The sequence below is a fragment of the Homo sapiens genome, chromosome 3 (assembly GCF_000001405.40).
Source record: "Homo sapiens chromosome 3, GRCh38.p14 Primary Assembly".
Classification (NCBI taxonomy): domain Eukaryota; kingdom Metazoa; phylum Chordata; class Mammalia; order Primates; family Hominidae; genus Homo; species Homo sapiens.
This window is the reverse complement of record NC_000003.12, coordinates 23656762-23682790: the sequence shown is the minus strand read 5'-3', so window position 1 is coordinate 23682790 and position 26029 is coordinate 23656762. Positions and strand designations below refer to the sequence as shown.

Here is a 26029-nt window from a genome sequence, read left to right as displayed (position 1 = left end):
CCCAGCCACCACCACCAGCAGCAGCAGCAACAGCAGCACCTGGGAACTGGCTGGAAACACAAACTCTCAGACCCTGCTCACGACTTTCTGAATCAATTGCTCTGGGGTTGGGGCCCACTCATTTAGGTTATTTATTTATTTATTTATTTTTATTTTTTTGAGACAGAGTTTCACTCTTGTTTCCCAGGCTGGAGTGTAGTGGTGCCATTTCAGCTCACTGCAGCCTCCGCCTCCCTGGTTCAAGCGATTCACCTGCCTCAGCCTCCTAAGTAGCTGGGATTACAGGTGCCCACCTGGCTAATTTTTGTATTTTTAGTAGAGACGGGGTTTCACCATGTTGGCCAGGCTGGTCTCGAACTCCTGACCTCAGGTGATCCTCCTGCCTCGGCCTCCCAAAGTGCTGGGATTACAGGCATGAGCCACTGCACCTGGCCTATTTAAAAAATTTTTTTGAGACAAAGTCTAGCCCTGTTTCTCAGGCTGGAGTGCAGTGGCGTGACCATAGCTCACTGCAGTCTCAACCTACTGGGCTCAAACAATCCTCCCACTTCAGCCTCCCAAGTAGCTGGGACTACAGGTGTGCACCACCATGTCCAGCTAATTTTTGTATTTTTTGTAGCGAAGGGGTTTTGCCATATTGCTCACGCTGGTCTTGAACTCCTGGGCTCAAGTGATCCTCCTGCCTCAGCCTCCCAAAATGCTGGGATTACAGTTGTGAGCCACTGTGCCCAGCCCATTTGGGTTTAAATACGCCCTCCAGGTGATTCTGGTGTACCTGAAGTCTAAAAACCCCTTTAAAGCATTCATCACAGTGTTTTGGGACTGTGTGTCTGTTTTCAGCCTAAGAATCAGATATTTTTCAGGACAAGAACTGTGCCTTACTTTATCTTTTTAATTAAAGTGCCTGGAACAGTACCCAATACTTGGTTGACCTCCAGTCAAGGTTTATGGTTGAAAAAAAGCAATTTGAAGTTGGATGTTGTATTAGTAAGGGTTCTCTAGAGGGAAAGAACTAATAGGATAGATGTATATAGGAAAGGGAGTTTATTAAGGAGAACTGACTCACACAGTCACCAGGTGAAGTCCCACGGCAGGCCGTCTGCAAGCTGAGGAGCAAGGAAGCCAGTAGTGGTTCAGTCTGAGTCCCCAACCCTCAAAGTTGACAGGGGAAGTTGACAGGGGCTCTCGGGCCTTCAGTGGTGTAAGTCCACTGGTGTAAGTCCAAGAGTCCAAAAGCCGAAGAACTTGGAGTCTGATGTTCCAGGGCAGGAAGCATCCAGCATAGGAGAAGGATGAAAGCTGGAAGACTCAGCCAGTCAGCTCCTTCCACTTTCTTCTGCCAGCTTTTTCCAGCCAAGCTGGGGCCGATTGGATGATGCCCGCCCACACTGTGGGTGGGTCTTCCTGAGGGTGGGTCTTCTCCTAGCCCACCAACTCAAAAGTTAATCTCTTCTGGCAACACCCAGATACACCCACAAACAACACTTTTCATCCTTCAATCCAATCAAGTTGACACTTAATATTAACCATCCCAGAAGTCATGATGAGTTCCTTTTCATTTTCCTGTCCTTGAGATCAAATCTAGTTCTCAGAGACTATACAATTAAACACGGAAGAAATAAAACAGAAAATGTCATCAACTCTCAGATAGTAGGGAGGGGTGGGAAAAGGAGAGTCACAGAAAGCTCCTAATCATAGTTTTTATTTTATTTTATTAATTAATTAATTAATTAATTTGAGACGGAGTTTCTCTCTGTCATCCAGGCTGGAGTGCAGTGGTGAGATCTTGGGTCACTGAAACCTCTGCCTCCCAGGTTCAAGCGATTCTCCTGCCTCAGCCTCCCAAGGAGCTGGAACTATAGGTATGCAGCCACTACATCCAGCTAATTTTTGTATTTTTAGTAGAGACGAGGTTTCACCATGTTGGCTAGGCAGGCCTCAAACTCCTGACATCAAGTGATCCACCTGCTTTGGCCTCCCAAGTGCTGGGATTACAGGCATGAGCCACTGTGCGTGGCCCTAATCATAGTTTTTAAAAATCATTAAAATGTAGCACCAAAATAATCTTAACATAGTGTGTATTAGTTTCTAGGGCTGCTATACGGAAGTACCACAAGGCAGGTGACTTTAAACAACATTACCTTATTCTGTCACAGCTCTGGAGGCTGGAAGTCCAAAATCAATGTCAGCAGGGCCATGCTGTCTCCGTGACGGCTCTTGGGCAGAATCTGTCCCATGTCCTTCTTTCAGTTTCTGGAATTGCTGGCAATCCTTGGTGTTCCATGACTTGTATCCGTGTCACTCCAATCTCTGCTTCTGTTGTCATATGGTATTCTCTCTGAGTGCCTATCTATGTCTCCTTTGCTTATCAGCTCACCAGTCATATTGGGTTTAGGGTCCACCATACTGAGCATCTTAACTTGCTTACATCTGTAATGACCCTATTTCCCAATAAGATCACATTCATAGGTACTAGCTTAGGAGTTGAACATATCTTTTTTGGGGGAACACAATTTATCTCACAACATGTATATGAAATTTTTAGGTAAAATTATATCCTATGTTTAGGGACACATTTACTATTCTCCAGAAGTCATTCGGAACTGTAAAAACAATAAAAATATTATCATTTAGGGACTTAAAACATTGATGATATCTGAAATATCTACTTCTGATAAAATTACCAATATTAATGTCTGCTTTAGCTGAACCTCAATATGTACGGAAACAACACCTTCATGACGTTAGTCAGTCACTGAGCAAATTGTCCTCACTTCCCAATTGTCAGCTTAGAAGCGATTCGATGCAGCACCAGGTCTGGGCTTGGCTAACTGGCCCCGAGACTCCTTCTCTGTGAGCCCCTCGGCCTCGGTTTGAAATGACTCAACAGTTGAAAGGTATCTCAAAGTTTCTGATATGGTTTGGATTTGTGTCCCTGCCCAAATCTTCTGTCGAACTGTAATACCCAGTGTTGAAGGTGGGGCCTGGTGGGAGGTAATTGGATTTTGGGAGTAGATCTTTCACGAATTGCTTAGAACCATCCCTTTGGTGCTGTTCTCGTGATGGAGTTCTCATGAGATCTGGCTGTTTAAAAGTGTGTGGCACCTGCCCCTCCTGTGCTGACCACGTGAAGTGCCTCACTTCCCCTTCGCCTTCTGCCATGACTGTGAGTTTCCTGAGGCCTCCCCAGAAGCTGAGCAGATGCCAGCATCATGCTTCCTGTACAGCCTGTGGAATGGTTGAGCCAATTACAGCTCTTACTCAGTCTCAGGTATTTCTTTATAGCAATGTGAGAACAGTCTAATACAGCTTCCTTCCCTTTTGAGAGCAAGGAAGGAAAGCCTTACCCTTTCCTCCTGGCTGGTACATACACTGCACTCCCAGGGATCCCTCATGGCCTCAAAGACAGTCAGCTGACAACGAGATTGTCAACATATTTAAAAAAATTTACTATCAGTCCATTTGAATAATTTTACCAAGGAATAAACTTAACAGTTTTCCTTTTCCATGTCACAAACCAAGTTTGTTTGGTTTTGGTTGACACTCATTAAGGTAAATACTTTCTGTATTATCTCATTTAATCCTCACAACAACTCTGAAGTGGGTATTGGTATTAGCTTCAATTTATGCACAGGAAACTGAGACATCGAGAAGCAATTTGCCATAGGTCACTCAGCCAGTGAGTGGTAGAGCCAGAATTTGAACACAGGCCCACAGGATTCTTGATTCTTGACCTAACCATTTGACTTTTCTGCCCTTTTCTCTAGTCCCAAGGGGAACAAAAGATTTTGGTTTGGTCCTGTTTGTAAATAAACAACTCACATTGATTTTAAAGCTTCCTAGGATCCATAAAACCAAATGCTGTATATCAACCAACTCATAATCTGTGTATTACATAACATATAGTTCTATACTGGTTATCTGTAAGTTTGATATATTAATTATTGATTACTGGCAAAATCATGCATAAAGGGTGTGGACGTTAAAAAAAATTATGTATTTGAGGCCAGGCGTGGTGGCTTACACCTGTAATCCCAGCACTTTGGGAGGCCGAGGTGGGTGGATCACTTGAGGCCAGGAGTTCGAGACCAGCCTGGCCAACATGATGAAACCCTGTCTCTACTAAAAATACAAAAATTAGCCAGGTATGGTGGCACATACCTGTAGTCCCAGCTACTCGGGAGGCTGAGGCAGGAGAATTGTTTGAACCCAGGAGGCAGAGGTTGCAGTGAGCCTAGATAGTGCCACTGCACTCCAGCCTGGGCAACAGAGTAAGACTCCATCTCAAAAGAAACAAACAACAACAAAAAACAAACAAAAAGCATGTCTTTGGTCTCTGCCCCTGGCTCCTGGCAAAGAGCTCCTAAATCGCTTGAAATTTCCCAGGTAAGAGGAGCATCTTTTGCTCTAATGAGGTGACTCTGGATGTACTCCTGGACGGGGGCTGGTCATGGGCAAGACCAGGCCACGATTAGAAGCTTCAAACTTTCAGTGCCCCACGCCCCATCCCCCAGGAAGGTGAGCAGGGCTGGGGATTGTATTGATAATTGATCATGCCTACATGATGAAGCCCCCATAAAAATGTCTAAAAGACAGGGTTCAGAGCTTCTGTGTTGGTGAACACATTCATGTGCCAGAACGGTGGTGCTGCACCCCAACTCCACGGAGACAGAAGCTCCTGTGCTTGGAACCCTTCCAGAACTCATGCTATTTATCCCGTCACCTGGCTATTCATTTGTATCATTTGTAATATCCTGTATAATAATCCAGTAAACATGTTTTCCTGAGATCTGCAAGTTGTTTTTAGCAAATGATTGAAACTTAGGGGTTGTAGGAACCTCCGATTTACAGCTGGATGTTGACAACCTGGACTTGCAATTGGCATCTGCAGTGAGGGCAGTCTGTGGGACTGAGTCCTTCATTTGTAGGATCTAATGCTAACTCCAAATAGATAGTGTCAGAAGTGAAGTGTTCTGGAAGTATTGTGTTGTGAGTGTACATATAGAACCCTGTATAAGGGTTATCTGAAAAGCTCCAAGTTCTAGAACCCTTACCAGAATCAGAACTGCCTTTGAAAGCCATGACAGCCATCTGTGGAAAATAAAGTGTTCCAGAATATAAATGAGGGGTGAGGGCCTCCCTATAAACACCAGAAAAGTTCCCAATCCAGAGGAGCAGTTACATTTCACAGCTGCAGTTGAGTTCCCAGCCAAGTGGTACAGGTCTCCATGGCCTTCGCGAGCCCAATCATGTTTTCACAGGGCTCTGGATGGAGATTACCTTCAAAACTTAAGCTGTGTACTTTTCCTTGCCAATTACATTAAAAATCAAACCAAAGACTAATCAGCTTCTTCCCTCAACAAAACACATTTAATATCTCATTAGCTTTGGAAAGTTTCACAGCAAATTGGTGTAAATGGACACTCTGGAAAGAGCATATTGTCTTTCTGTCTAAATAGCTACTGACACTCTTTGCTCTTTTTTTTTTTTTTTTTTTTGACAGTGCACTCTGCATAGCAGCTTTATAAAAAGAGGGCACATAGCAGTCTTCACTTTCTTTTCTGCATCTCACGGCAGAGATAGACAAATAAGCCTGTCAGTCCACTGCATTTCCTTCCACTGCACTCCTGTCTTCAAACGATACTGTGGAAATTAACTTGAAATATTATGAAGGCCCTTTTTTCTCCCTTTAATTCCAGGTAAAGGAATTATGGCTCCTTGTACTTATTCATTCCAGACCTGTGGCTCCATTCCACAGTTGTTAGGTGAACAGTAATTGCTCAGCAATAACTCTTGTATACACAGCCATCACAAAATAAAATCTAGAGTGAGGAGATCTCAATTTCAGAGATTCCTTCAAATCTAGGAGCCCCTATCCAGCAGTACACCTCAAAAAAATGTATTAAAAGTCAGATTCGGCCACGCACGGTGGCTCACGCCTGTAATCCCAGCACTTTGGGAGGCCCGGGCAAGCGGATCACTTGAGGTCAGGAGTTCAAGACTAGCCTGGCCAACATGGTGAAACCTCATCTCTACTAAAAATACAAAAATTAGCTGGGTGTGGTGGCAGGCACCTTATAATACCAGCTACTCAGGAAGCTGTGGCAGGAGAATCGCTTGAACTAGGGAGGCAGAGGCTGCAGTGAGCCAGGATCATGCCACTACATTCCAGCCTGGGCAACTGAGCAATACTGTCTCAAAGAAAAAAAAAAAAAAAGTCAGACTCTTTTCCAAAGAATAGCAAAATGAAAAGTAAGAAATTCCAAGTTAGAACTATAGTAGGAAAACCTGCTGGGGTGTCAGCGAATAAGGTTTTTACTCTCCTGTTGGTCAATACAGAAGAATCTTAACAGATTTTGAGAACAGTTGGGAGAAACTACATCACCAAGTAAGATGGTGTCTACACCATCTTCATTCAATGTCATAAGTATCTCTCAGGGTTTAACATGTGCAGATTGTCATGACTGTTCTAAAATTCTTAAGTGAAAGACTCACTAAGATTCTTAGTCACCATTTTAGCAAACTGTAACTCTTAGAAAGCAGCAGTAGGGGCTGAAGGGAAAGCAGCTATAAGGAATTTCTGGGTGAAGCATGTTGCTAACAGTTGTAAAACTGGTTGAAGATGCCATCTTTTGTGATACCCAATGTCTATTATGTTTAAAGTTCACAAGGTACATTTCTACTGAAATTCAGATCCAAGAAAAATTTTGTCTCTCAAAATAACCATGTATGCTTCCTTTTCAATGATAAAAGAAACTGTGTTTGCAACATAAAGTTAAATTTAATATGGAAGTATGATGATAAGCTACTCCTGCTATCTGGCAATACCCATTTTCTGTTCATTTTACTTAATTTGTTTTCTGATTCTTTTTATATCCTATTTCCATGTAGTTTAATCTTATAAGCCATTTTATTTTGATGGGCATAGAGTCCCACATCTAAAAAATAACTGATTAAAAAAATGACTTACCACTACACATCTATTAGAATGGCTAAAAACAAAAACAAAAACCAAAAACCAAAACTGACAATACCAATTTCTGGCAAGAATATAGAGCAACAGGAACTTTCATCCATGACTAGTGAAAATGCAACAGAGTACAGCCACTTTCAAGGATAGTTTGGCAGTTTCTTACAAAGCTAAACATTGGCTTATCATACAACACAGCCGTTGTGCTTGTAGGTATTTACCTAAGTGATTTGAAAACTGATGCCCACACAAAAACTTGCATATGAATATTTATAGATGCTCTATTCATACTCTCCAAGCATTGGAAGCAACCAATATGTACTTCAATAGGTGAAGGATAAACAAATGTGGTATATCCGTGCAATGGAATATTATTCAGTAATAAAAAGAAACGAGCTATCAAGCCACAAAAAGTCATGGGTGAATCTTAAATGCATATTACTAAATGAAAGGAGCCAGTCTGAAAAGGCTTCATTGTGTATTAATCCAATTATATTACAAAACTATAGAGAGAGTAAAAAATCAGTGGTTGCCTGTGCGCAGGGGATGTGAGGTCTGACTGAGTGAGGCACAGGGGATTTTTAGGGCAGTGAAACGTCTCTGTAGGATACTGTACTGGTTGATATGTGACACTATGCATTTGTCAAAATCCACAAGACTTTACAGTACAAAGAATGAAACTTGGCCAGGTGCTGAGGCTCATGCCCATAATCCCAGCCCTTTGGGAGGCCATGGTGGGAAGATTGTTTGAGCCCAGGAGTTTTGAGGCTGCAGTGAGCTATGATCACACCACTGCACCCAGCGTGGGCAACAGAGTGAGACCCTGTCTCTAAAAAAAAAAAAAAAAAAATAGTAAAACTTAATGTATGCTGTAGACTCAAAAATGTAATTTAGGAGATTGGGAAATACAAGGATGGAAGGTAGAATATGACAAATCAAACTAACTGTATTACAAATATATGAAAAACCTCACGGACAGTGCTGGAGGGAAAAGTACTGACCCAAGTAGCTTTGCTTTTTTTGTTGTTGTTGTTGTTTGGTTTTTGTTTTTGTTTTGAGACAGAGTCTTGCTTTGTCACTCAGGCTAGAGTGCAGTGGCACAATCTCAGCTCACTGCAACCTCCACCTCCCAGGTTCAAGTGATTCTCCTGCCTCAGCCTCCTGGGGAGCTGGGATTACAGGTGCCCGCCCTGACACCCGGCTAATTTTTGTATTTTTAGTAGAGACAGGGTTTTGCCATGTTGTCCAGGCTGGTCTCAAACTCCTGACCTCAAGTGATCCGCCTGCCTCAGCGTCCCAAAGTACTGGGATTATAGGTGTGAGCCACCACGCCCAGCCCCAGGTAGCTTTGGAAATGAGTGGAATCTACAAGACTACAAAGGCAACTACATAGCACTGTGCTCTAGTTAATAAAGTTGTTTCTATAGGGGTATGGATTAACATTTCTGATACTGCAATACATATATGTCAGAATTGAACAATTAAATAAATGGATGGTAGAAACCAGGTTTCTCACTGTTGGAGCGGGAGGTTAGAATAATCTACATGGTAATAGATTGGAATTGGAGACATTAGTATGAATTCATGTTTAGCTTAATATAGATACAGCTAGTTACATAAAGAAATATCTAGAGATATACATGGAATGCACACATTTCCTTGCTCTGTCAGAGAGGGCTTATGATATTACAGTTGCAACAAGCACACCTAGCAGCCAGATCCTGATTTTTAATACCATTCCCCAATTAAAAACAAACAAACACACAAACAAACAAACCAGGGATCCTTAGAGAAATAGCTGATTCTAGGACTGGGGCATGAAATATATAAGATAAGCCTGGAGCATCTTGTGTCAGGACATAAGGAAGTGCTGAAACAGAAACAGTTGCACAAAGATGGGGCGTGTTGAAGGGACACAGGACCCAACTGAAACGGTTCCCAGTGGCCAACGCCGGAACAATTGGAGCAATAAGATAAAGTAGTATTGGATTATAACCCAAAATACAAAATAAATACATATGAATCTATACTAGTATAAATGAATGACTGAATAAATAAATAAATAAGAACAAATCTCCTATGTGGAAGAATTCCAATTATTTTATGCAAATACTCTGCCCTCTAGGTGCGGCGCTTACCTCCCTATTACTGAATGTGAGCTGCACAAAGTGACTACCTTCCTAAAAGCACAGCATGGAAAGGGAGAGAAAAGTAACTCTACGGTGGAGAAACCCAACAAACATTACCTCCAGCCAGGTATCACAATGACAAGTGATAAATCATGTTGACAGTATGTACTCTTGATATGATGTGTGATAAAAATGGCACTTTACCTCTAGTCTTCATCTCAAAGCCACATAATCTCAGGCTAATCATGATAAAAACATCATACAAATCCTAACTGGGGCACACTCTCCAGAACACCTGACCAATATTCTTCAAAACTGTCAATGTTATCAAAACCAAGGGAAGTCTGGGAAACTGTCACAGCCAAGAGGAGCCTAAAGAGACAAACCCATTAAATGTAAGTAATGTGGCATCCTGGATGAGATTCCGGAACAGAAAAAAAGACATTATGTAAAAATGAAAGAAATCAGAAATAAAGTACGAAATTTACTTAATAATAATGTATCCATATTGATTCACTAATAGTGACAAATGTACCTTTCTTATATGAGACGTTAAGAGAGAATACTGGTGCCGGGTATATGGGAACTCTGTTTATCATCACAAAACTTTTATAAATCTAAAACTGTTTTAAAGTAGAAAGTTTACTCGGTGCAGTGACTCACACTTGTAATCCCAGCAGTTTGGGAGGCCGAGGTGGAAGGATGGCTTGAGCCCAGTAGTTTGAGACTAGCCTGAGCAACATAGTGAGACCCCCATCTCTACAAAAAATTAAAAAAAAAAAAGTTACTCTGGCGTCTGAGGTGGGAGGATTGCTTAAGCCCAGGAGGCTAAGGCTGCAGTGAGCCGTAATTGCACCATTGCACTCCAGCCTGGGTGACAGAATGAGACCCTCTCAAAGGAGAAAGAAAGAGAGAGAGAGAGAGAGAAAAGAGTGAAAAAGAAAAAGAAAGCAAGAAAAGAAAAGAAAAGCCAGGTGTGGTGGCTCATACCTGTAATCCCAACACTTTGGGAGGCCGAGACCTGTGGATGACTTTGAGTCAGGAGTTCAAGACCAGCCTATGGTGAAACCCCGTCTTTATCAAAAATGCAAAAATTAGCCGGGAGTGGTGCTGCAGCCTGTAGTCCCAGCTACTTCAGAGGCTGAGGCAGGAGGATAGCTTGAGCCTAGGAGGTGGAGGCTGCAGTGAGCCCTGATTGTGCCACTGCACTCCCGCGTGAGTGACAGACTGAGAACTTGTCTCAAAAACAAACAAAAAAACACACATTCTCCCTAAAAAATAAAAAATATAAATAAATAAATAAATAAATAAATAAATAAATAAGTAAATATTCATTTAGGAAACCACACCCACACCTCCACGTTCTGGGCTAGTGCTCAGAGGCGTCCTCGCAAGCCTCAGGCACACGCGGATGGCCAGGATCCCCAGCAGGTCTCTGGAGCAGAGTTCGCCACCCATCGCTCCAGGCACTGCTGAGGGGTGCGGTTCCCACCCGCCCGGTGCCAAACGTGACTCTCACTCACTTCCACTTCCAAGGGCAAGGCCACACAGCAGGGAATTGCCATAATTCGCCTGAGGGAGTGGAGGAGACTTGGAGGAAGGATTCTCGTTCCGATGCCGCAGGTGTGGTGCCCGGGCTTGGCTCTCCTGCCGCCTTGCGGGGCGGGCGCGGCCTCCTGGGTGAGCGTTGCGAGCTCGGACCTCCACCGGCAGAAGCTCCGCGCTTGCGGGCCGCGCTGCCGCCAGGCTTCGGCTTTCGCAAGAGAAGCCAGGCCCGCCACACTGCAAGTGCAGTCGCGCAGCTTCTATTAATAAATGGGGACCACTCTGTCCATTTGTTTAAGAAAAGTCTGCGCTGGCTAAAGGAAAGAAACCCATCTGCCGGCCGAGACTGCTGAGGAGGAGGCGCTGCCAGGGCTCCCGGGGCCAAGGCTATTCATTTAAAACCCAGGAAGAGGGGGCGAGGTGGGGTGGGAATTGGATAGTGAGCTGCGCTGTCCACTATGTGAACACATTAGCCTCGCGGGACATGTGGTTCTTTAAATTGGAATTAATAAAAATTAAATACAATTTAAAATGGGCTTCCTCAGTCGCACTGGGCACATTTTAAGCGCTCAGCAGCCCTTGCCATCACTGTGGAAAGCTTCACTGGGCAGCACCGCTAAGTACAAGGAGATATTGCGACAATTGGCAAAATTTGAATGCAAAGCCGGTATATGTTTACAGATTGAAACCACTGTATCCATGTTTTTTCCTTTTTTTGTTTTTTGAGACAGGGCTCTTGCTCTGTCGGGCAGGCTGGAGTGCAGTGGCTACACTCACTGCAGCCTTGACCTCCTGGCTTCAAGCGACCCTCCCTCCTCAGCCTCCCAAGAAGCTGGGATCACAGGCACTGCTCCACCATGCCTGGCTAATTTTTTCATTTTTTTTTTTTGTAGAGACAGATCTTGCTATTTTGTCCAGGCTGTTCTCGAACTCCTGGGCTCGAGTGATCCTGCAGCCTCGGCCTCCCGAAGTGCTGCATTACAGACATGAGCCAACGCCCAGCCATGTTTCCTAATTTTGATCCCTGTCCTGTAGTTACATAAAATAATGTCTTTGTTCTCAGGAAGCATAGGTGGAAATATTTAGGGGTAAATGGGACATGATGTCTGCAACTTAGTTTCAAATAGTTCAGAAAAAAAAATGTAGATACATAGAATGATAAAGCAAATGTGGCAAATTATTAACACTGGTGAGTCTGGGTGCTATTCTTGCAACTTTTCTGTAAATTTAAAATTATTTCGAATGTGAGGATTAAAAAAGGAAAAATGAAGAAACAAAAACTCCAGAGAAGCTAAGTTAAAGAGTTGAAGTTAAGGAAACACTAAGAATGTATCCCAAGTGGCAGCCCTCACTCTGGGTAGGGACTTCTCATCTGACAGCATACTTCCATGGGCTTAATTGCCCACATAATTATCCCCACCCATACCCCTGGTGGTCCTTTGGAATTCTCACTGCCCTCATGGTGCCTTTTTACATACTCGCAGGGCAAAGCTTCCCAAATTCCAGGACACTCCATTCTTTGTTTTCAAGACCCAGCTCTAGACCCCATTCCCTGAACTTCAGTAATCAGTGTTTCACCTGGAAGAGACTCGTCAGAGCAGTATATATATATATATATATATGTGTTCCCAGCTGCAGCTGAAACAGTTTTCATGCATTGAGTAAAACTGTGTGGTGCACCTGAGGGGCGTTCTTGGTACTGGGATGCCTCAACCTACCCATCTAAGGATCACTGCTCTAAGAATTTTTAAAACTGGTTTGTGCTTACATCCTTATGTATAATTTTACTTAAAGGTGTGACTGTAATAATAGACATGGATTTACTTTCAGTGGAGTTTTATTTGTTTGTTTTGCTTGTTCTCCCACAACACTTTTCTCTCTTTCCTTGGCTTCTACAAGAGGGCACAAATCCTGCTACTTTTGCCTTTATTGCAACCCCCACAGATCCCTGGCTTCAGACACATAGAGCTGTCTGTCCACACTTCCTGGCACTGGGCCTGGAGGAGAAAGGAGCTGTGGTCCTGGAATCCCCTGAGCTGGTTTTCTATGTAAGTCTCTTATTATGAGAGCACCTCATTCTTACTCACCTTTATTAAGCAGCAGGGCACCGGATGTCATGGTGGTCACAGAACCTGCAAGATGTTGTCATTAAATTCAGCAAACATTTTTTGGGAGTCTACTTTTGGGCCCAGGCACTCTGCCAGGTGCTGCTGATACAAACATCATCAACAAGATCCTGCCTTCGAGGAGTTCCCAGGCAGCAAAAAACAAAGAATAGGATAAATGGTGTTTTTGTGAGTGCCATGGTAATACTGGGCATGGGGCTGGAGCAGGGCCTCACCTGCGGGAGGCAAACCCCACCTTCTTCACTGCAACAGGCTCTCTCAGCATATAATTTCTGACGTCATCAACGCAGCATCTTTTGATGTACACTCCTCCTCAAACTTTCATCTCACGTGTAACAAGCATCCATTGTGATCTCAAGGTCCCAGCCTTTCTGTAGCTCCCAACTAAAAGGCAGTTTCAATTCAGACCAACCGGAGTCCAAAATAAAGGGTCCAAGACAGGAACGTGTCTGCTCCTCTTTGTGTAGATAGAAATTGTTTATTGCTCTAGCTCTCTTCTCTTTTGTGAAAGCTCCACGCTTCTTTTCAAAATGATTCCCATTCTTTGCAGAGTTGTCTATTAGCTGCCTCCCACAGCCATGCTCAGGCTTTGAAGTTTATGGATAACTCAGCATTTCTTCCCTGTGGATATGAGAGGCACTTTGAATCGGGCATGGTGGTGCGTGTCTGTAGTCTCAGCTCCTTGGGAGGATAGCTTGAACCCAGGAGTTCAAGACTGCAGTGAGCTATGATCATGTCTGTGAATAGCCAGTGCACCCCAGCCCAGGAAACATATTTTTTAGAGACCTTGTCTCTAAATAAAATAAAATAGAATAAAATTTAAAGAAGCATTTTGGCATCAAATAAAATACTCAAGGTAGGATATGTGCGTTTCCCCTGCCAGCAATAGCTTAAACTGTACAACTGTACAAAGAAGTGACAGTGACTTCAGGCACACATCCCATTAAATCCAAACTAAATGTATTCTAAACTGAATGACCCCTTAGCAGAATTTTCAGAAATGCACTTGGACATGCCAACGTCCACCACTTAATAGGAGGGGAAGTCAGAAGAGAAAGAGACAGGCATCTTAACCTACTGCAGAGAAAAAAAAAAATCTTACTTTTGTAAAATTGACAAAAACATATGATCCTGTGACTATTCATTGGGCCCCTACCATGGCTTCCAAGGGCAAACAAGGGCCTCTGAAGCTCAAGTTTCAGTAGCTCGCTGGTAAATCCACCTCTGCTTACATCGAAATGTTCTGAATGAGTCACTCTTATAAAATCAGTGACTCCTACTAAGCATTTCCTCAGAGGGCCTTTGATTTCAGAAGCTGTCTCTGGAAAAGGCATTCCTGGGATCCCTCCTTTTCTCCAGGACATATTAATGAATTGACTTGGAGCCAAGACAGCCTTGACTTGGAACACCAAAGCTCTTTTAAGTCCATGGGGCTCAGATTAGGTTGACCAACTACCTGGGTTTGCCCAGTATGTCTAGCTTTATCTCGGAAAGTCCCATATTCCAGGAAATCCCCTGAGTCCCAGGAGGAATGAGATGGCTGGTGACCTACCCTGGGCTCTCAGAGGAGGTGTAGATTTAACGAGCACACACACTTTGGGATTGCATGGCAACCTGCCTTCCCAGCACAGCCTTGAACATCTTAACCTTGAAAGCAGTGGAAACCAGCTCTAAATCAGACTTAAGCAGGAAAAGGATTTATTGAAGGGATAGTTTTCTCTCTCTGCTTCTTTGCCTCCCACTGTGAGCGTCAAAGCCCTGGGCAGGGGCATCTGATTTGCCATACTGAGACACATGTCCACCACAAACTCATGTTTGGGGCAGGAATGAAGCAAGAATCTGCCTTCTTTTTTACTTCTGTGGTAAGTGATACACCCTATCAATCCCCAAACATATACAGTGGGTGTCTTAGTCCATTCAGGCTGCTGTAACAAAATACCTTCAACTGGGTAATTTATAAACAATAGAAATTTATCACTCACAGTTCTGAAGGTTGGGAAGTCCAAGATCAAGGGACTGGCAGACGCCATGTCTGGTGAGGGCCTGTTTCTCATAGACAGCAATGAATGACTGCATCCTCACATGGCAGAACGGGCAGAAAGCCTCCCTCAAGCCCTTAAACTATCCACGAGGGTGGAGCCCTCATGACCTAATCACCTCCCCAAATCCCCATCTCCTTTTTATTTAGTTTCCACATACAGCAGTGACAAAGTCCCCATCTCTTAACACCATCACCTTGGGGGTTAGGTTTAAACACATGAATTTTGGAGGGACACAAATATTCAGACCATAACAGTGGGGAAGTCCCCGAATTTAGGAACAAGGTTCAGATGACTGCCATGCAAAGAAGCCACAAAGTAAACAATGAAGAGTTTATGTTGTACAGTCACATACCACATAACGACATTTCAGTCAGTGAGGGAGAACAAATATAACAGTGGTCCCATAAGAATGTAATGGAGCTGGAAAATGGCTATTGCCTAGTGATGTTGCAGGTGACTTAACTGTGTTATAGTTACATGTGTTACATGTTTGTGATGATGCTGGTGTAAACAAACCTACTTCACTGCCAGTCATATAAAAGCATTATGCATACAATTATGCACAATACATAAAAAACAACAACAAAAAAGAAAACAATAGATAATACTTGTTTTTTTTACATATTTACTATACTGTACTTTTTATCGTTATTTTAGCCTGTACTCAGCAACCCTGTTGCCCTTCTTAAGGATACAGATATTCCTGAGGGTACGGACATTCCTAAAGTTATAGCTGGGCTCTGTCTTTCTTATACCTTGTTCCAAGAGGCAATGCTCAAAAATGGCACAGACCACCCAATCAGAAGGGATGCTGACTATAAACAACTACAATCATGTGCCACATAACGCTTTGGTCAACAATGGGCCGCATGTATGACAGTGGTCTCCATATATAAGATTATCATGGAGCTGAAAATTCCTATCATCTAGTGACGCAAAGCTGTTGTAATGCTATTGTCATTGTAACATCATAGCACAACACATTACTCATGTGTTTGTGGTGATGCTGGTGTAAACAGACCTACTGCGCTGCCAGTCAACTAAAAGTCTAGCTCATACAATTATGAATAACACATAGTACTTGATAATAAATGACTAGGTTACTGGTTTATGTATTTACCATACTATACTTTTTATCATTATTTTAGAGTGTACTCCTTCTACTTAGAAATATGTTAACTGTAAAGCAACCTCAGGCAGGTCCTTCAGGAGGTATTCCAGAAGAAGGCATTGTTATCATAGGCGTTTTCAGCTCCATGCATATTACTGCCCCTGAAAACCTTCCAGTGGGACGAGATATGGAAGTGGGAGACAGTGATATTGATCATCCTGACCCTGTGCAGGCCTAGGAGAGTGTGCGTTCTTGTGTCTTGATTTTTAAGAAAGAAGTTTTAAAAGTTAAAAAAAATTTTAATAGAAAAAAGCTTATAGAATACAGATATAAAAATATTTTTTGTACGCTGTATAATGTGTTTGTGTTTTAGGCTGTTATTACAAAAGAGTCAAAAAGTTGAATTTTTTTTAAGTTTATAAAGTTAAAAAATTATATTAAGCTGGCTGGGCACGGTGGCTCACGCCTGTAATCCCAGCACTTTGGGAGGCTGAGAGGGGTGGTTCACTTGAGGTCAGGAGTTTGAGACCAGCCTGGCCAACATGGTGAAACCCCATCTCTACTAAAAAAAAAAAAAAAATAGCCAGGAGTGGTGGCACGTCCCTGTAATCCCAGCTACTCAGGAGGTCGGGGCAGGAGAATCACTTGAACCCAGGAGGCGGCAGTTGCAGTGAGCTGAGATCGCGCCACTGCACTCCAGCCTGGGTGACAGAGCAAGACTCTGTCTCAAAAAAAAAAAAAAAAAAAAAAAAAAAAATATATATATATATATATATATATATATATGCTAAGGTTAATTTATTGTATAAGAAAGAAAAAATTTTAAAATAAATTTAATGTAGCCTAAGTATACAGTGTTTGTAAAGTCTACAATAGCGTAATGTTCTAGGCCTTCACATTCACTCACCACTCACTCACTGACTCATCCAGAGTAACTTTGAGTTCTTCAAGCTCTATTCACAGTAAGTGCCCTATACAAGTCTACCATTTTAAATCTTTTATATTGTATTTTTACTGTACCTTTTCTATGTCAAGATACACAAATGCCATTGTGTTATAACTGCCTACAGTACTCAGTACAGTAACATGCTGTACAGATTTGTAGCCTAGGAGCAATAGGCTATATACAGTCTAGGTGTGTAGTAGGCTATGCCACCAAGGTTTGTGTAAGTACACTCTGATGTTCGCACAATGACAAAATCACCTAACAATGTATTTATTAGAATGTATCCCCCACAATAAATAACACAAGATAGTCCATAAATCAAGCATCAACAACTTCGGGGCAGAGGATAGGAGGCAAGCTACATGTGTCAAGGCGGCTTTATGGAAAACTGAACACCTACCATATAACTTCAGGAGGGAGCGTGGAGGACCCTGGGCTGTGGGCTGTGTGCTCAGGATGTTTGAATGCAGGACAGCCAGCATGGAAGGCTGATAGGAGAAGCACTGTCAAGATCACTGGTTTTCAACCCTACCTGCATCAGAATCCCCTTGGAAGTTTTAAAACTACTGGGTCCCACCCCTAGAGATTCTGATTGAAATGGAGCGCCACATTAGGATTTCTATAAATTTCCCAAGTGATTTTAACATACAACAGGGTTTAAGAACCACTGGCGGCTGGGCGAGGTGGCTCACGCCTGTAATCCCTGCATTTTGGAAGGCCGAGGCAGGCGGATCACTTGAGGTCAGGAGTTCAAGACCAGCCTGGCCAACATGGTGAAACCCCATCTCTACTAACAATACGAAAATTAGCCGGGTGCCTGTAATCCCAGCTACTTAGGAGGCGAGGCAGGAGAATCGTTTGAATGCAGGAGGCAGAGGTTGCAGTGAGCCAACATAGTGCCACTACACTCCAGCCTGGGTGACAGAGCTAGACTCTGTCTCAAAAAAAAAAAAAAAAAAAAAAAAAAAAAACAACAAAAACAAAAGAATCACTGGCGTAGGTATGACCAGCTCAACCCTTGTTCCACACTCCCTGAAATTTTGTCAGAAATTCCAAAGACTTCCATGAGATTTCTGCTCTGACTCTGTCTTGGACAGCAACTTTCTCTTGGAATATAATGTTTTGATTAGCATTATTGAATAGAAATGTAATGTGAGCCACATATATAATATTTTCACATATCTACTTGGTGGAAGGAGACTGACCTGGGGAACTGCTGTGTGACAGGCTCTGTGCTGGCCCCACAATCAACCCTGCAATCAGTAGCATCATCTCCACTTTACAGATGACTAAGTGGAGGGTCATAAAAGCTGACTATCATGCCCCAAACCATACAGCTAGTAAGAGGAAGAGCTTGCATTAGAATTTAGATTTACTGAATTTAAAATCCCGAAGTCAGATCCATCCTCAGGAGAGGAAATCCACTGGGGAAAAAGGTCAGAACCAGCCATAAGGGAGCTCTTACAGAGTAGGAAGATGTTGGGTTTGGAGAGGAGATCTCAGAAGAGATCCATGAGTGCCATCTTCCAATACCTGAAGGCTCACCGGTGGTTAGACTGGCTCTGTGTCATTCCAAGGGGTAGCAGTAGAGTCAATAGGTAGAAGTTGTAAGGAGAAATATTTCCACGGAGACTGAGGACACATTTTGTCAACAGTCAGAGCTGCCCAAATTCGGATACTTTGGAAGATAGTGAGGACCAGGTGCTGCAGAAGACCAAGCAAAGGCTTTTGATACTTGGCCTGTTCCCCAAAGGCTGCAGCACTGTTCTGTGGAGTGGCTACATCAATTCGCCTGGGTGTTATTCAAAATAAGCAGGTCCATCCCAGGCCTACTATATCAGAATCTCACGGAAGTGAGGCCCAATGACTTTTATTTTGAACAAGTGTTTGCAGTTATTGTGATGTTGTGATGTGCAGCCAGGATTCAGAGCCACTGCTGCACAGAGGACGACATTTAAGCATCCGTTGGATGGTTGGACTATATGACTTTTCAAATCTCTTCCAGTGTTGAAATTCTATTATACCATGTTCGCTAAAGCTTGCCAACCAAATTATGGTGAGTGAACTTGGCAAGATTAATCATTTCCTTATTTGGCCTGTTTACTACTTAATGGGCAGCAGTGGGGGTAGAGTTCTTTGGCTAAAAAAGCAAAACTGCTAGTTGCCCACATTAGTTGAGATGCATTAGATTTTAACTCTTTTTTTTTTTTTTTCCTTTGGTAAGACAGGAATTCAGGGGAAGGGGCAAGGTAAAACAAGAAATATTTTCTCATATTTTCTTGCTAATAGAAATGTCAAATTTTTGCACTCATTGCCAGGAACCATGGAGTTCCAAGCTCTTTTATAAAAGGCAGTTAGGAACTTTGAGTTGGTCTACTATAGATAAGGATAGCAAAGGGCTGCAAAACTTGGCCTGTGGGATGAGACCATGTTAACAGTTTCCAAGGAAGCAGCTTTTACAAGCTTTATTCATAACACACCATTGACGAAAAGAAACAAGTGCCAAGCCCCATCAAGTTGAGGTATTGTTGAGAACACAGCTGGGTCACAGACGGAGTTGGAAAATGCAACCAGAGGAACACCAAGAGCAGCAAACTGAGAATGAGTTTTTGCTTTTCAGTCTCATCACTGAAAAGACACCCACGGCCCTCAGTCCAAATAGAAAGGAATCCTTGAGGACTGAAGCTGGGGTCACAGAACATCTGAATCACCAGATCCAGGTGCTGCACGCTCTTGGTCAGAGTGAGGACTGTACAAAAAGAAAAACAGGATCCCCTCTCCGAAAAGCAAATGAAGTGGTCATTTCTTTGCCCAGAACAATGCAGAAAAGTTCATCATTTTGCTGCCTTTTTTATGGAAAGATAGCCTGAAGGACAGGTACTGAACTAAAAAAAATTAGCTAAGGAGGCCAACAAGAATCCAGGTAAAAAGAAAATGTGGTAATAAATGCCTTAACTCCATTAAGTTTGAGCCAATAGCTGCTCAGTCAGGAAAAGCCATAAATGTAGAGGAGGCTGTTATTGGTTTCAGGTTCTCTATTTCTCCCTGAAGGGCATTATTTTGTTCTTTGCTTCACTCAGCTATTAAACATGGTCTTTTGAGAACAATATCTGGATTTAAGACACGTGGAATCTATTTTTTTTTCCCCTAAAACTTCCATCAAGTCATTTGTCCCCACTCTTTCTAGTTGGTCATATTTCTGGCACGGCTATAACAACCGTTTTATCATTTCTTATGGGATAATCCGATTCCAGTTCTCATGGCTCCTTCCGGTTCTACATTCGGGTTGTCTCTTTCTCTATAAGCGAGTGGGCTGCCATCATTTCAGATCTGTGCCTGTGGTTTGTGTGCCTCGACAAGCCATTGTCATGTGGACACAGCTCAGAAAAGTGTCTACATCTGGAAAGAATGGGGAACAGCTCATCTATGTACTCGGTAATAAACGCTCCCGAATATTCCCATACTAGGATTTCTACTGGGAATTCAAAGAAAGTCAGTGTGGTCTGACTTTTGTTTTTGTTTAAGGAAGTGGTTTTCAAAGTGAGGTCTCTGGTGGCTGTGAGCTAATTAAAAAATGCAACTCCTTCACCGACTTCCATTTTTATGTACCACTCAGGTCTTCTTACTAGGAATTTATAAACAAAATTAGCACCATACTTGAGGATGCACAGAACTCTATTTTGTCCTCTCCTAAGAGGTCCGGCTGTGAAAACACTTGGCATCACGACTTTGACTTACTTTTTTTCCTAATAAACAGATTTCATGACCTAGTATGCATCGTGGTTAACCACAGCTACAGCTAAATAAAACATCTACATGTAAACAACCTCTTCTTGTTACTATCTAGTTGCTCTTCCATGGAAGGTTGAAATGGGTGGACCATTACAGTCTTTTGTCTCAACTGAATGGTGTGGAACCATAAAAGTTTGTGAGGACTAGTCTAAAACAATGGGATGTACCAGAAATGGAACAAGCTTTTGGAGTCAGACCAACCTAGGGTCAAGCCTCCATGCACGGATTTCAGTCGGCAGGTTGAAATCCAGCCTACACTCTGCCAGTCAAGCCTCTGTAGAGCTTGGTTTCATTCAACATTTACTTCCCTAGGAGTAAGGGGGAAGGAGTAGGAGCTGACTTTGTAATCTAATGTACATGAAGGTGTATAGACCAGCTGCGGCCCTGAAAATACACCTTCATAGCAGTGTGACTTTGGGAAAATGCTTATTGTCTCTGTAGCCCAGTCTCCTTGTCTGAAATTGTAGGCTAATCATTTCTCCTTTGCAGGACTGTTGTTGAGGTAATTAGATGATGTATGTAAACTGCCTGGTGCACTGTAACAGATGTCAGCAAACCTGAGCTCTGCTGAGGGCCACCATCTACTCCCAGCCCTAAACTCAAATGAGTTGGGGTGAAGTGACTTCTCCTAGACGAGAAGCATCAGTATCCCAGATGAGATGTTCTGTCCAGCCAAACATTCTTTAGTTTTTGTGGCAGAGATGTCAAAGTCTTTGGGGGATAGACAGACTTAAGTGTCATTCCCAACCCTCCTACCCACTCACTATATGACTTTGAGCAAGTTATTCATTCCTCTGCGTCTCCTGTTTTCTCATCTGTAAAATGGGAACAAATAAAACTGATTTCAAAGCACAGAAGATGAAATGATTAACACAACAAGCCAAGATTACGCTTGGCACAGTTTTAGGTGCTCAACAAATTTGAGTTCTTTTCTCCCATACCCCCAACCCTTCCTTATCTGGTTCTTGGTTTCATTTAACATTTACTAAACCCCATCCAAAGAGAAGTGCAGTCTTCACCTTCCTCAGCGCTCTTTCATGAAACCAAAAAATTACTTATAGCCTTCCATGCATATTTTGATTAAATCAAATAACCACTTCATAGACTTACTATATCCTGGCAGCTGTGTAGATAAACCGGGTAGAAAGATAGAAAAAAGATACAATAAATAGGACTGAATAAAGATCACAGAAACCATCCTAGTTATATTTGGGACTTGGGATGTGATAGCAATGGCCCTACAAATCAGGATATTAGGACAGCTGGCTATTGAAATGGAAAAAATACAATAAAATTAGGTCTCCACCTTGCCCACCATATAGAAATAAATTCCTCATGGACTGAAGACCTATATAAAACTTTACAATATTTAATCTTAGGGACAGGCAAGGATTTCTTAGACAGGATGCAAAAGAAAGCTGAACTCAAAAAGTGGATACATCTGAGTTCAAAATGAAAACCACCTGGAAATATATGTAGCAGACATCATAAAAGTGTTAAAAGACTGATGACAGGCTAGGAGATGTTTGCAACAAATAAAACAGATGAAAGATTATATTCAAAATATACAAAGAACTATAAATTATTTTTTTAACTCCATTAGAAAAATAAAAAAGGACAGGGACAAAGAGGGCACATCGGAGTAAGTACGGCCAACATCCCCCATAGAGCGTGTGCTCAACCTCCCTAGTCATCAGGAAAATGAAGGTTAAAACCCCAAAGAGCTCCCATCGGATTATCAGAAATCAAAAAGTCTGACAAAATTGACTGCCTGAGAGGATGCAGGGACACAGAAGCTCTTATACAGGAGCTGCTAGTGGGAGGGTCAACTGGTTGCCATCACTTTGCAGAGCAATTTGGCTACACATACAAAAGTGGAATCCACGTGCACTCTACAAAATCGCAGTGTCATTTGAAATGTCAGCAAATTGGAAACAACCTGAACTGCCATCAAGATGGGAATAAATACGCTGAGGAATGTTCATAGGGTGAAACATGGGAGTGAATGCTGTCTCTATGCACACACATGGCCCAAGCTCAGTGCTGAGTGAAAACAGCAACTTACAGATGGGTATACATTCCTGTAACTGTAAAGTAATAACCCAGCCACACTGCAGTTTATGACACATGTGCACTTAGTAGAAGCACAGAACAAGAACGGGAGGGACACACTAGCTTAGTGATCATGCATGTCTTAGGGAGAGAAGAGAATGAGATTAAGTCAGGGACAAAAGAGCCTTTCATTGTATCTGTAATATTCTCTTGCTTTCTAATTTTTTTTTAATAACAAAATGTCAATCTTTGTTCATTCTGGGTGGTGGGCATGCTGCGTTTTTAGTGTGTTGTGTTTAGAATTTTTTTTCAAACCAATAGAAAGTATTAAACTCTGGAACTTTGAAAAGGAACAATGAAGATCAAGTTTGAGGCTTGCCTGAGGAATTCAATTTAGAATGTTTATAGGATTTTAAAATTATTTTAAAGATTGCTTAGGAGAAAAAGAAAGGAAAGGGAAGAAGAAAGATAAAACAAAGGGAGGAGAAAATCTGAAGTGGTACGAGGTGGACATTTGCTCTAGGACGGCTGCTGAACACGAGGAGTGACACCACAGCTGGGGACTTGACCCCAAGGGGCACCTCTGCTTCAATGCCTAACAGGGGTGGCATCATCCACAACCTCTTGTGTTCAATGAACGTTTATTTATATCAAGTAGCCGAGAGCTTCACTTCCTCTAGTCTGTCAACAGCTAACAGTGTCGTTTCGTTTCTCTTCCTTCCTTCTTTTCCATTTAGTAATTGCATATAGGCCTAAACTTGTTTTTCTTACATCTAGAAGTTTGTGATTACGGTTTTTATAATAGCTTATATAAAATTATTCTGTTATTTCTTTTACCTTAGAGTTTTTTTTTTTTTCTTTAATGTCATCAACTTATACTTAAAACCTTTTTATGCTGACTTACAGCCAGGCTTGGTGAATTCAATAATGCCCCCCAATAAAACCCCTCTCACCAACACCCGTGTTCCTTGAGTGCCTGCTGGGCACCAGCACTGGGGGTTATAAATGTAAAACATATGGGCAGGCCAACTCATGCGTGTTTATTGTTTTCTCTCTATTTATATGAAGCTCCTCTCCTTTAAAGCACCCAGGGATCTAATTACATGGTCATAGCCAAAGACTTAAGTATGTAATAGATCCAGTAATTTGTTATTAAGTACATGGATATGCTAACCATTTGCATAGATTAGAAGCGCCATGGAGGATGAAGTTAAAGCCAGTGAAAATGAACCCAGCAAGGTGCAGGCATCTTCAGAAACCACACTTGAGTAATCACAGCCTTAATAAAGTATTTTATGCTTCAATACATTTGTAATTGACCAATGATTTGTTTCTATGGGGCATAATACCCAATAATAAAACCCAAAGACTAGGACCTCTATCACATAATTAAATATCTTTAGTTCTATTACAGATAGTTCAGAGTGGGGTTTGTTGTGTGTGTTGGGGGGTGATGCTTCGTTTTGGTTTCTCATAATTTTTTCAGATTATTTCATGCGAGCAATTGAACAGTCCTTTTTAAAATATATTTTCTCACTGACAAAATAAGTGCTATGGTTGTATACACCGTCTCCTAGTCTCAATACTTAGCGGAGTTCCATACATCTAGTATGCAAAAAATTACATTTTATTTATTGTTTAAGAAGATAAAACTTTAAAGGTTGAGTTTTAATTTTACTTAATAGATATATTTCATCTTCCATCTTTTTGCTCAGATCTGATGTTTTTAAAGAAAAAAAACAGGGAAGAATAAGGAAAGAAGTATTAAGTTAGTAAGAGAACATGTTCCTTTCTGGAATCTGTCAAATGATAAAATATATTAGAATGAACTATTTTGAACCTACACAGGTGGCCATTTCATATATTTAATATTTCATCACATAGCTATGGCTTGATTTCTGTAAACGCAAGATGTTGAATTGCTAATTGTAATATGTTTAGCTCAGTTCCTAAATCCTGGGCTGGGGAACCTCACAGGGCAGATGAGTTGGGCCTCTTTATGGCTGACAAAAAGAATGTTCCCTCCCAGCATTCTCTGGGTTGCCTCCTCTGCAGAAATGGGCAAATTCTTAGAGTATGTGAGCGACTTCATAGCTGGCCCAATTACCCTTCCTTTATTCTTAGGGAGAGAAGTTTGACAAGGAGACGAGAGTTAGAATCAAGTGGTTCTCAGTCTCAGAGGGTCTTGAGCCAGTAGGTTTCTCACATGTCTTCCTTCCTTTCTTCCCTTCCTTCCTTCCTTCCTTCCTTCCTTCCTTCCTTCCTTCCTTCCTTCCTTCCATCCATCCTTCTTCTCTCCCTCCCTCTCTCCCTTCCTCTCTCTCTTTCTTTCTTCTTCTTCTTCTCTTCTTTTTTTCTGAGTCTCACTCTGTCACCCATACTGGGGTGTGGTGGAGACATCATGGCTCACTGCAGCCTCAAACTCCCGGGCTCAGGTAATCCTCCAACCTCAGCCTCCCAAGTAGCTGGGACCACAGACCCGTACCACCACATCCAGCTATTTTTTTTCTATTTTTTTTTTGTAGAGATGGGGTTGGCCACATTGCCCAGGCTGGTTGCAAACTCCTGGGCTCAAGTGATTCACCTGCCTTGATCTCCCAAAATGCTAGGCATGAGCCGCTGCAACCAGCACAAGTGTCTTCTTGTTAATCACAGGTGGAGACCTGAGGTTTGTACAAGCTGTACTTGAAAAGTAGTTGGAACAGAGAACACTTTGCCAATATGCCTTTTTGAGAGGAGCCAGGAGATCATTTCTCACACCTATCTTATCTACACTAATCTTGCAAATGTCACCTAGGGTGTGTGCCAAGGCAGAGGAGACTGGGACAGGCCTGAACTTACATAGTATTAGAGTTTTCTGTCTGTTTTCTATTCATTATTCCTACTTTCAACTTGGGGAATTGAGACGTGAAGAGGTTAATTGCCTTTGTCTGAGGCCACAAACACCTGAGGGATAGTTCTTGAGCCCCAAACTCTGGCTGCGAGCCCTCCTCTTTCCACCAGCCCACCCTCCACCTCACTGAGTCAGCTTGGCCACAAACGGGTGGACTCTGGCTGTGTGCCGTGACCACCTGTCCATAGCTGGGGCTGTCCACCTGCTTTTCAGACCGTCCCTGCCTGAACCTCCCCTTTCTCCTTTTGCTAATGGCCTTAGCATGTAGTGAAGAGTGGATAGCTGTTCCATAGGGGCTCTTTTGCTCACCTCTTTCTGCATTTCCCCATCTGATGGGATAAACAGGCAGTTGGCAGTTAGGCAGACCTAGATTTTAATTCCAAATCTGCTACCTACCAGCTGTGTATCCCTGGGAACCTCTTC

The 26029-nt window shown here is 42.4% G+C and overlaps 1 long non-coding RNA gene across 1 annotated transcript, besides 3 other annotated features; it reads right to left on the bottom strand.

Annotated features, from left to right (window-relative positions):
• Nucleotides 1-1027: 1027 nt before the first annotated feature.
• LOC124909353 (uncharacterized) lies at nt 1028-16676 on the bottom strand. Its single transcript, XR_007095844.1, has 2 exons — nt 12732-16676; nt 1028-2603 (listed from the first exon to the last, which is right to left on the bottom strand). It is a non-coding gene; the product is annotated as an uncharacterized LOC124909353 (long non-coding RNA).
• Nucleotides 10288-10787: an enhancer, noted in NCBI's record as "H3K4me1 hESC enhancer chr3:23713495-23713994 (GRCh37/hg19 assembly coordinates)". NCBI's record gives its function as "activates a minimal SCP1, AML or CMV promoter by ChIP-STARR-seq in primed H9 embryonic stem cells {active_cell/tissue: H9 hESC(primed)}" and the evidence as "EXISTENCE:reporter gene assay evidence [ECO:0000049][PMID:30033119]".
• Nucleotides 10788-11289: an enhancer, noted in NCBI's record as "H3K4me1 hESC enhancer chr3:23712993-23713494 (GRCh37/hg19 assembly coordinates)". NCBI's record gives its function as "activates a minimal SCP1, AML or CMV promoter by ChIP-STARR-seq in primed H9 embryonic stem cells {active_cell/tissue: H9 hESC(primed)}" and the evidence as "EXISTENCE:reporter gene assay evidence [ECO:0000049][PMID:30033119]".
• Nucleotides 13525-14724: an enhancer, noted in NCBI's record as "P300/CBP strongly-dependent group 1 enhancer chr3:23709558-23710757 (GRCh37/hg19 assembly coordinates)". NCBI's record gives its function as "activates an origin of replication core promoter dependent on BRD2, BRD4, P300/CBP, MED14 and CDK7 cofactors, with strong dependence on P300/CBP, by STARR-seq in HCT116 cells {active_cell/tissue: HCT116}" and the evidence as "EXISTENCE:reporter gene assay evidence [ECO:0000049][PMID:35650434]".
• Nucleotides 16677-26029: the final 9353 nt, after the last annotated feature.